We start from the raw sequence: 12,267 nt of genomic DNA on the forward strand, positions 1-12,267 counted from the left end.
CAATAGTAAAAGCAACAAAAATAAATAAATAAATAAATTGGACTCATAAAAATTTAAAAGGTTTGTAATTCAAAGGACATCATCAAGAAAATGAAAACAGAACCCACAGAATGAGATAAAATATTTTCAAACCATTTATCTGAGAGACTTTTGTCCAAAATAAAGAATACTCCAACTCAAAAATAAAGACATCTCAATTGAAAAATGGCCAAAGAATTTGCACATTTCTCCAAAGAAGATATATGAATAGCCAATAAGCACATAAAAATATTCTCAATATCACTGATCATTAAAAAAAATGCGGATCAAAACTAATTAAGGCATTAAGGCCGGTCATAGTGGCTCATGCCTGTAATCTCAACACTTTGGGAGGCCAAGGTGGGAGGATTCCTTAAGGTTAGGAGTTAGAAACCCGGGTAACATCATGAGACCCCGTCTCTACGAAAAAATAAACATTAGCTGAGCAAGGTGGCATGTACCCGTAGTCCCAGCTACAGGAGAGGCTGATGTGGGAGGATTTCTTGAGACCAGGAGTTCGAGGCTGCACTGAGCTATGACTGTGTCTGCATACTGGCCTGGGTGACAGAGCAAGATCCTGTCTCTTGAAAAATAACAACAAAACTACAATTAGATACTCTTCACACCTAGTAAGATGACTATAATAAAAAATATAACAACACGTTTTAGGAGAGATATGTAGATATCGAAACCTTCATATGTCGCTGAGGAATGTAAAATGTTAAAGCTGCTTTGAAAATCAGTCTGGCAGTTCCTCAAAAGATTAAACATAGAGTTTCATTATGGTTAATACAGTTAACCATGTCCTCTAGTAATTTCTTTCTAGGTATATACCTAAGAGAAATGAAAATAAATGCCTTCACAAAAACATGTTCATAATAGCATTACACATAATAGCCAACAAATAGAAACAATTCAAATATCCATCAATCGGTAAACTGATCAATTTTTAAATATCCCTACAATGAAATATGACTCAGCCATACAAAGTAATTTTGTATGGCTATACATGCTATATCCTGGATGAACCTTGAAAACATTACACTACTAGAAAGAAGTCAGTCACCAAAAAAACCATATAGTACATGATTCTACTGATGTGAACTATCCAGAATAGGCAAGTTTATAAAGGCATAAAGTAGATTTGTGGCTTCAAGAAGATGGGAAATGACTGTTATTGGGCATGGGTTTCTTTTTGGAATTATGAAATTATTCTAACATTAGATTGTGGTGATAGCTTCACAACTCTGAATATACTAAAAATCACTCAACTGTACACTTTGAATGGGTGAATTTTATGGTATGTGAATTATGTCTCAACAAAGTCATTACAGAGAAAAAGAAAGCTGGAGTGGTTATACTAATATCTCACAAGTAGATTTCAGAGCAAAGAAAATTACCAGAGATAAGAAGGGCTATCACTTAAAAGTAAGAGACAATTTCTTAACAAGATACAGCAATCCTAAGCATGACTGATCCTAACAATGGAGCTTCAAAATACATGAAGGAAAAACTGGCAAAATTGAAAAAAATAAAGAGAAATCCACAGTTACAGTTGAGGACTTTTACACTCCATTCTTAGTAATCTACAAGAACAAGCAGAGGAAAAATCAGCAATGATATTGGCACAACTAGACAGCATCATCAACCAACACTGACATTTGTAGGACACCCACCCAACAGCATTAGAATAACCATTATTTTCAACGTACGGAACATTCACCCAGACAGACCACATTCTGGCTCATAAAACAAATCTTAAAATATTACAAAAAAATTAAAATAATACAGCTTGTTCTCCGACCATAATGTAATGAGCTAGGAATTACTAACCGCAAGATAACAGGAAATTCTCTAACCACATAAAAATAAAACAACACATTTCTACGTAATCTAAATCATAACCTGATAAATTAAATTGGGCCTAAAGCTGCCTCTGTAAATAGCAGACTGCAACTTGATTTGAGGTTGTATTCTTGTAACAAGTAGCTGAGTCTCAGCCAATGATGGTAGTGGAGCTTCAGCCAATCACGGGCTGTCAACTGATCAGACCATGTCCGTTGAAGGCAAATGCCTCATCACACCATGACCAAATAAAGCAAATACCAGGCTGGATCCAATCAACTGATTTATGTACGTCACTTCTTTCCTCTGTTTATGAATACTGCCTGCCCATGTTGCTCGGTGGAGCTCTCTGAAACTCTTCTGGTTCTGAGGGCTGCCTGATTCATGAATCGTTTTTCGCTCAGATAAACTCTGCTGAATTTGCCTAAAGTTTTTCTTTTAAGAGTTTCACATGAGAAGTCAGATCTTGAAGCAAACTTCCAGTGATCCCAGGAGCACTGAGTGACCAAGTTAAGGTACCCAGCATGCCCAGTGTACTCACTGCTCTTTCGCAGCAACTGGGGTCATGGGTGAGATTTTTGAATCTAAGCTTCATGAACTTCTGATTTGAGCTGAGTTTGAGCATTTTTGATCTACACTGGGTTTCAAAGTCATGCCAACAACAGGACTGGGCCCAGTAGGGAGGCCTCAGGTATTTGACTGGGTCAGACATAAACTCAACTCAGTTAGTAGGTAGGAAAGGTTAATAAAAGACATAGAATCATGGGTTTATCTGGTCAAAGGTTGCTAGAGCTTCGCCCTCTGGAATTCTAGCCAACTTCATGTATAAAAACCAGAGACCCAGAACCTGTGCTTTTCGAGACGAATGGGAGAACCTTAGCAAAAGTAACTTAGAATGGCTACAGTGGGAAAATTCCTTACGAAAGGCAAACAGGTTTATGTCTTTACAGTTGTAAAGGCTACAGGGCCCAAGAGGATCCCAAAATAAAGAACCCTATGCCCCAAGATGTCTGCCTTTATGGTAAACACTCATGCAACTGGAAAATACATTGTCCACTTTTATATTAGCCATCTAATGGATCCACTACCTTTTGTCTGAACTATTTCTCCACCAGAGAAAGCCCCCAAAGGCTTTAATCCCAAAACAGTAACCCATCAATCTCTCAGGGAGGAAAAACAAATTCTGTGGTGGGGGTTTCAAATCAAACCTGGAAAGTTCCTAATTGACACTTGGACCATTTTCAGAAAAAAAATTTGTAAGAATTAGTTCTGTTATCTGTATTTCATCCTGCTTCTTCCATGGGGATCTCTCAATTGACTGAAACCCCTCTTCTCAAACTCCTGCTAACAATATGCTCTACCAACTGTATACATCTTTTTTTTTATTATACTTTAAGTTTTAGGGTACATGTGCACAACATGCAGGTTTGTTACATATATACATCTCTTTCTTATCATCATGATCCTGACTATGCTCCAAAACTCTTGAAAAACAAAAAAATAGAAAGCAAAACAAAAACTGTGTTGTCATTTATTCTTGAAAACAAAGAAATGAACAAAAAGGATGAACCAATCTCTAACTTTAAGAAAAGATTATAATATTCATGCAGAGTTCGGGCACATAAAATGCTGTATAGACTAAGCAACCCTAATCCAAAAGTCCAAAATCTGAAATGCTCAAAAATCCAAAACTTTCAGCACCAACATGATGTCACAAGTGAAAGATGATGAGGACACTGTTAAAACTGCAAAGTGCCTATAGATGACATGGTGAAAATATGTGATGGGTTTACTGAAGGACTCTAAGAGCATTCATTCATCACAGAATAAGAAATTGTGTCAGTCTGTAAAATCAACAGAGACTTCTAAGACAAAAACCATTGTTAATGAGACAGCGGACTCCAGAGGAAACATTCTGAAAAGTCATCCATCAGAATGCTTCCTCATTTGTAGAGAAAACACTTGCTGGTCACTTGGCTACTTCTGATATTTCTTCTCACTTAAAATAATAAAATTCAGTGAATGATAACCTTGTAATCAAAATACAGCATTGTAGGTAAAGAATGAAAGCCTGCCATTGCTTATTGGTGGCTTTCCGACACAGGCATTCTGGAGATACTACTGTGCTGCTTAGTTACCCTGAACGCATTCTCTTTTCACTGTACTAATGATACATCCTATTTTTTACTGTTAAGCACTTATTTGTGAGTAATGTAAGAAAATGATTACTTATCAGTAGCATAATGAATTTAGAGTCAGGAATGATGGTGACGTCAAATAACCACAGATTGTCCACATGGGTGATTGAGATACTGATACCTTTGCTTTCTGATGGTTCAACGTACGTAAACGTTTCATACACAACATTATCAAAAATATTGTATAAAATTATCTTCAGGCTATATGTTTAAAACATAATGGAACATGAATTTCATGTTTACTTGGGTCCCATTCTCAAGATACCTCATTATGTACATGCATGCCTTGTTTTACTGTGCTTTGCTATACTGTGATTCACAGATACTCCATTTTTTTAAACAAATTGAGGGTTTGTGGCATCCTTGTATCAAGGAGTCTATCAGTGCCATTTTGCAGAACAGCAACTTCTCAGTTTGTCTCTTTGTCAAATTTTGGTAATTCTCACAATATTTCAGACTTTTTCATAACAATCTGTTATGGTGATCTATGATCAGTGATCTTTGATGTTACTATTATAATTGTTTTGGGACCCCATGAACCATGCCTATATAAGATGGTGAACTTAGTAAGTGTTGTTGTGACTGCTCCACAGAGCAACTATTCTCCCATCTCTCCCCTTATTCTAGGACCTCCCTATTCCCTGAGACAAAACAATATTGAAATTAGGCCAATTAATAAGCCTACAAATGCCTCTAAATATTCAAGTGAAAAGAAGGTTCGTGCATCTCTCACTTTAAGTCAAAAAGCTGGAAAAGATTAAGCTTAATGAGGAAGGCATGCTGAAAGCAAAGACAGGCCAAAAGCTAGGCCTAGATTCCTCTGATGAATCTAGGCAACGTAAATTGAAAACTTTCTAAAAAGGATTCACCATTTTAGATACCACTAAGAACTTTTGTTATTCATGGGAGGAAGTCAAAATATAAATATTAACAGGAGCTTGGAAGAAGTTGATTCCAACCCTCCTGGATGATTTTGCGTGGTTCAAGACTTCATTGGATGAAGTACCTGCAGATGTGAGAGAATAGCAAGAGAACTAAGAGTTAGAAGTGAAGCATGAAGATGTTACCGAATTGTTGCAGTCTCATGATAAAGCTTAAAAGGATCATTGCTTCTATGGATAAGGAAAGAAAATGGAAGCCATTTCCCAGATGATTTTAATATATCCCCTCCTGGCCCCAACACACACCCCCTCAGTTACAGATCTATGAAATTTTACCCCATTCAGATAAAAACCTATCTGCTGTAGGAATCATAATACATTCAATCAAATGTTCAGTTTACCAATATAAGACATATCTATTTTTTCTCAAATCTCATTTGTAAACCCAAGTAAATTTCCTCTATACCAAATTCAAAATAAATCCAAAATATGCCATATAATATTTTTAAGTGATACATTCTCATTTTCACAGAAGGAATGCAAAACGAAAATAGTAGTGATTGTAAACTACATAAATATCAAGCACAATTGTTAAGTAAACACATTATCATGAAACATTATGATAAAATAATTTTCCTTTAAAAATATAGTAACAGTTTTGTAAAAATCATTAAATGTTTACATTCAAATGTTAAACATATAATCTGGATAATTATAATGATAGCAATGTTTTTAAAAAATATGGAAACTGGAGGAAACATGCTAAGATATAAACATTTCCTCTTTAAATTTTCTACAATAAATGTATAATAAATTATATAAACTGAGTTTTTAAAATAATTTTTAAAACCTGACAATGTACTCTCTTGTAGTGAATCTGTAACTAAAAAGACCTGCATGTTCATCAAAGAGGAAATATTATGCACACCTTTCCAAGTACAATCCTCTTTATAGACTTTAAGCCAAATTTCTTGGCTCCTATGGTGGACTGTGTTAATTACTTTTATGGGTTTCTTGGCTATAGGGAACTGGATAGTTCAGTGGGCTCAATATGAGTGGATTAAAGTCCAATGACTGAAGGATTCAGTCATTTCTGTAGACATCTTGTAAACTTAGTAAGTTTCTGTCACATGGGCTGAAATTAGAGAAACGAATTCCAGGCTTGCACAAAAGATAAACCTAGGTCCATGTTGATAAAATATGCTGCAGCAGGAATGTCCCATAGATACACAGTATCTTCATTATAATTACATGTTAACATATATGTATTTAATTGTATCTTTGCATAAAATCAATTCTAGAAGAAACTTAGGGAGTGATTAATGTTCAACAAATTACAAGGGCAAAACCTAAGATTTTTATTGTGTTGTTTTTATAACCTATATCAATATATTTATTATTTTATTAACATCATGACTCCTTCAAAAGAAAAAGTGTATGGTAGAATATTTCATTCTTTTTAGCAAGTGTGAAGGATCTTGGAGGTTAGCTATTTGGCTTTAATATAAAATAAAAGATAAGATTAAATGAAAGCAAATTGATAGCCACAGTCCATACATAACCTTTATTAAATATATTAATTTAGTTCAAATTGTTTAAAGAGAATATCAGGTGTCTCCTTTTTAGCTTTCAAAAGGGAAATGTTTTTGTTATTTAGAGTAGAAAAATATCAGAACAATATTCTCATGATGTTTATATAAGACATTAAGGAAACATTACCATGCCAACTATGATTACCAAGAACGCCTCATTGTGTCATTTTACAGCTAGTCTTTTAGTATTTAAAATTGTAGTAAAACAAGATGTCATGTTGCATACAGTTAAGTCACTTTGATAAGAAACTTTACATTTATGAAAACAGACTTTTAAAAAACAGATGTTATGTGCAAACAAACACAAATATAATTCAAGGAGTCGGCAGTGCATACATTTACACAATACATTTATACAAAAAAATCCCACCTACTCCAATTCCCATTTCCCATTTGAAAAGGCAACCACAGACATTAGATTTTTTTTCCTCCAATAGATTTTCTAAGCATATATAAACTAATACACACAGTTTTTATAAAATGGCAATCATCTATATACTTTTCTGTGTCTTTTTCTTTTCATTTATTAAAATGTCTTGATGTTAATTACATTTCAGTCCATATAACCTCATTCTTTTTAATGGCTGCAACATAATGTATTTAACTGGCTGCCTAATGACAACAAGTTAAATCGTTTCCAAATTTAGGCTATTACCAAAAATGCTGAAAAAAATATTTTCTTCCTGTGGATCTGTGCATTAAATTATTGGAAGCAGAACTGATGGATCAAAGTTTTGTACATTTTTAAAGATACTATCAAACTGCACTCTAAAGAATTTGAATCAATTTAGACCCCAGACAAAAAGTTACATTCCTAATACAGTATTTTATCAACATTTTTGTAGTAGTCAATCTGATATATAAAAAAAAAAAATTGGTTTTATTTTCCATATATCTCATAATGAGGAGGCTGAGCCACTTTTATTATTTGTTTGAAAGCAATTTGCAACTCTATTTCTGTGAACTGCCTGTTTGTCATTTGTTCATTTTTGTTAGCTTTTCATTTGTCTTCTTTATATGAAAGGTATTAAAATTTTATATTAAAATTATCTTTTCAAAACTTATCATTTGTCTTCACTGCATTTTTGTCATGCAGTTTTATTTTTGAGGCAGGGTCTCTTTCTGTTGCCCATGCTGGAGTGCAGTGGCATGATAATGGCTCACTGCAGCCTTGACCTCCCAGGCTCAATCAATTGTCCTACCTCAGCCTCCTGAGCAGCTGGCACTACAGGTGGGTGCCACCATGCCTGGCTAATTTTTAAATTTTTTTAGAGGTGGGGTATCGCCATGTTTCCCAGGCTGCTCTCAAACTCCTGGGCTAAAACAATCTGCCCACCCCTGCCTCTCAAAGTACTGTGATAACGGGCGTGAGCTACCGCCACCCAGCCTTACCATGCAATTAAAAACAATTTTTTTCCAACTTTAGATGTTTTTCTTTTTAAGGACTAGCATATCTATCTCTTTCATCCTGAAGAATGAGTACTATAAAAATGAATTTTAGCACAATGCTGGTGAACATATGAGTATGAACATTGCTGTATTTTTTGTTTATAAAAGTTAACTGGTTGTGAAATCCCTCAAGCAAAATTCTTCACTGCTGTTCTTGCAATAAACATCATAAACATCAATATTAAGGAAGGGGATTTTAAAGGAAGCAGCTGAAAGAGGACACTTATAAAAGAAAAAAAATGAGACAATATGAAAGGTTTTGTGAAATATATTTCTTCTGTAGTAAATGACAGCTAATATATTCAAGAAGGCAATGTTCTGTATAAATTACTATCACTATCAATTTTTCCTTATACACACGCATACATTATAGAAATGTGTAAAACAACATCACTACTCATAATAATATAATTCGGCTGTGTGTAAAACATCACTACTCACAATATAATTCAGCCTATATTCCAAATTATTTACAAAAATATAATTACTACACTACACACACACAGACACACACACACACACACAGTGTTTCAACTTGTTGTTTCATTTTGTGTTTTAACTTTATGTTTTGGACATATTTCCAAGTTAGAACATTTAGAGCTACAATGTTTTAAACTGTATATTATTCCACCTTTGAATATACCATACATTATGTAACCAATTCCCAATCAATGGCTACAGAGCTGTATCCATGTTTTCTACATTGTAAACAATCCTACTTTAAACATCTTTGACAGAGATTTTTATTTGTACACTTGGGAGCATGTTTTGCTGGATAAATTCCAGTTAAGTAAATGAACATTTGTAAATCTGAACAGCTTTAACCCTAAAACAGCTTCACCAATTCACATTTCCACTAAAAGTTTGTAAAATTATATTTTCCTCACTGCATTTTCAACAACACCTAAAGTTATCAGACTTTCAAAATTTGTAAAATTAATGCAAAAATTGATGTCTTACTTCATATATGTTTTGGATAATTAGTGTGGCTAACAGTATTCACTCTGCTTATTATTTGCATTTCTTTTGCTTTGAGTTGACTCTTTTTATCCTTAACTGGGTCATTGATTTTGAAGGTCATTAATAAGATTTCTAGGTATATTAGCAAAATTATCTTTTTTTTTCTATTAACAATGTCCGCAGTTTGTATCTTTTTTGGGGGATGCAAATGTTAATAAAAATCATGTCCCTAAATGGGTCTAGGTTTTTGTATTATGCTTAGAAATGCTTTTCCCACATGCAATGTGCACAAATATCTATTCAGGCTTTCTTTTTCCCTTTTTAGGCTGCATATGTTTAGATTTAAACTAGTAAGCCATCTAGACTACATTTGTCTATTAACAGTGAGGAAAAGTTCCAGTTTTATTATTAGGTTTCCCAAACAAATTCCTGCTTGTCCAAGTACATTCAATTAAATGTTATTTCTTCTTCCCACCCAGTGATTTAAAATGTATGCTTATCAAATGCCAGCTTTCCTTTTATTCTTCCATGTCTCTTCAGTTTCATTTACACATCTGGTAGTAGGTCTACTGCACTGTCTTTTAATCACCACAGTTTTGTAACACCTTTTATTATATGAAGAAGTCTCCACTATATATATGTGTGTATGTATAATATTAAATGTTAAAATCATATATAATATATAAAATAAGACATAATTATATATTTTGTATTTTATTATTTGTAATATATTATACATAACGTTAATATGTTTGTTCTTCCACATGAGCTAAACAGTACAGTTAAAAACAGTAACAAAAATATTCAGTTAGGATTCTACTTATACGTTGTTTTAGAGAAATGATATCTTTACCTAGAAGAATGTTATGTATTTTATTGGATTCTCATACATACCTTTTTATATCTTCTTAAAAATAATTTCTCAATTGTGTGTTATTTCATGCCAAACTGAATTTTACTTTATTTTACTGTATTATCTAGTTTATGTATAAACATCAACTGACTTCTATAAATTAAGTATGATGCAATTGGAAACTTTGATAAATTCACTTATGCTTCCCATCAAATTTCAGTGTTTCCTATGGACATTAAGGTATACACTCACATCATGCATAAAGTGATAATATGTTCCCCTACCTGTTGTCACTCGCCCATAGAATTCACAACCATGTCACAGAGTGTAATGATTAGCATTCTTGTCTTTTTCAAATTTAATGGAAATGCTGCTAGTATTTCACAGCTATCCATGAGAGCAGATAGACAGATGGAGGTTGTGTTCTATTACTATTACAGGAGAATGCAATTTAAATTAGGCAATCTATTCCCCTTTAAGCAGTATCAAGTTTGGTGCATTATATCTTCACAAGTACTTATTTTGGTGGCTCCATTCTAAATGCAGTATAAAATTAAAAACTAAATTGTAGATCCTAAGAGAAGATAAGGCCACAAAATAAAATCCTAAGTCTTTAAATATGAACGTTTTTAAAAACAAATCAAGCACAGCCCCAAATCGCCCCAGTTTGCCAGAATTGGAAATAAGAGAGAGGGATTCTCTCCTGTCACCGCCTCCACTCGCTGAGCAATTAAAAAGTTACTATAAATAGCGTTTTTACCTGCGAGTGGCCTGGCCTGAGTCCGTGAGAGCCGCGCCGTAGAAACGCCAGAGACCCATGAGAAACCCAATCAAGCGAGACCTGTCACGCAGAGCGAAACGAAAGGGCCGCCCCCGTGAAGTGCAGCCAGGACCCCCATCCCTGGGCAGGAAACTGCTCGCTCCCAAACCCTCTGCGTCTGCAGTGCAGACGCGCGCCCGACACCACGGAACTTCTGCAACCACCTGAGGATGCGACGCGAGCGCAGTGTCCGGGAACTGCTAGCGCAGGACGCCGCGCAACCTCCGCGCCTGCCCGCAGGCACCGCGGCCTCGGGCCTCCCCTGACGACGCCCTCGGCCCCGCAGCCCGGGCGCCCGCGCCACCCTGTCCTGCTCTGCGCCCGCCTGTCCAGCCCCACTCACCGCCTGCCCCGCAGAATGCTGGGCACCGGGGACGCCAGACGCCGGGTCTAGTTGTACTGGCAGAGGAAAGGGAAAGGAAAGGAGGCAGGGAAGGGAGACGGAGAGGATTTTTCAAGTTATAAACAAAGTAAGCGCGCGGAAGGGAGGGCTAGGCGCGGGTTCTGGGGGCGGGTCCGGCACGCCTGGACCCTCCTTCCCCGCGCGCGGCTTCCCCGTCTCGGACCCCGCCCCGCGCTGGGAGAGCCGCCAGCCCGGGGGAGCGTCTTCCTGGAAGAGGTGGGGCACCCTGAAGTCCGCTGAAACCTAAAAGCCGAGGGGGAGGAAGAAATGAAGAAAATAAGTTGTCACTACTCTAATAAGAGGTGAAAGAAAAGATAAAAGCCAGCCCACGGTCACTTCCAATCAGAGGGGCAGGTTGCAGGGCCTGGGAAAGGGAGCTTTGTTCATAGATTACTGCGCCTAGAGAGAAAATGAAGAAACCCCTCTTTCTCAAGAGCCTTTTTTATTTTTTTATTTTTATTTTTGATACGGAGTCTCACTCTGTCGCCCAGGCTGGAGTGCAGTGGCGCGATCTCGGCTCACTGCAAGCTCCGCCTCCCAGGTTCAGGCCATTCTCCTGCCTCAGCCTCCCTAGCAGCTGGGACTACAGGCGCCCGCCACCACGCCCGGCTAATTTTTTGTATTTTTTACTAGAGACGGGGTTTCACCGTGTTAGCCAGGATGGTTTCGATCTCCTGACCTCGTGATCCGCCCGCCTCGGCCTCCAAAAGTGCTGGGATTACAGGCGTGAGCCACTGCACCCGGCCTCAAGAGCCTTTTTGATTTGCATTTGCGCCCACCCCCAGGTCCTTGGCTTGGTGATTTAGCCTTGGCAATGCCGTGCTGGCTGGAAACACTTGGGCATAGGGCCCAGAAATTCTGTTTTCTTTTCCACAGAATTGGGGGAGGCCAATTTGATCTTGGAGGGAAGGCGGGAGAGACGCCAATAAAGGGGAAAGGGAGCAGGTTGCCCATGTTTTCTGACATTGGGAGAAAAATGCCATTTGCTTATTACTGTTAGGCACAAATATTTCTTTCAGACCAATGGGATTCAGTTCTGTGGTGGTGCTTGGAGAGAAGCACAATACACTGACAGGAAGTGGGAGAACTGAAGGTCCTCTGACCTTATAAAGAATCAGAACTGGACAGAAGTAAGCTTGATTAAGCTCTGAGGAGTACTTGGCAGAACCCCATTGTGGGAGAAGGTTGGAAAGGGGAAGGGATGTGGGAGTGGAGTTCTAGAATTTTATATTTTTCTTTGTATGTGTG

The 12,267-nt window shown here is 36.9% G+C and overlaps 1 protein-coding gene across 8 annotated transcripts in view; it reads right to left on the reverse strand.

The window, feature by feature from the left end:
• Window positions 1-11,105, reverse strand: part of PLSCR4 (phospholipid scramblase 4) — a 58,771-nt gene extending 47,666 nt beyond the window's left edge. For 4 of the 8 annotated variants that reach the window (NM_001177304.2, NM_001128306.2, NM_020353.3 and 1 more), the window contains exon 1: window positions 10,960-11,105. The gene's annotated coding sequence lies outside the window, so the exon portion shown is untranslated. Of the gene's footprint in view, window positions 1-10,556; window positions 10,638-10,959 lie in introns of those variants that run through there. The other 4 variants (XM_017006921.2, XM_005247654.3, NM_001128304.2 and 1 more) reach the window with 2 other exon arrangements.
• Window positions 11,106-12,267: the final 1,162 nt, after the last annotated feature.

Source organism: Homo sapiens, chromosome 3, assembly GCF_000001405.40.
Source record: "Homo sapiens chromosome 3, GRCh38.p14 Primary Assembly".
NCBI classification, from domain to species: Eukaryota; Metazoa; Chordata; class Mammalia; order Primates; family Hominidae; genus Homo; species Homo sapiens.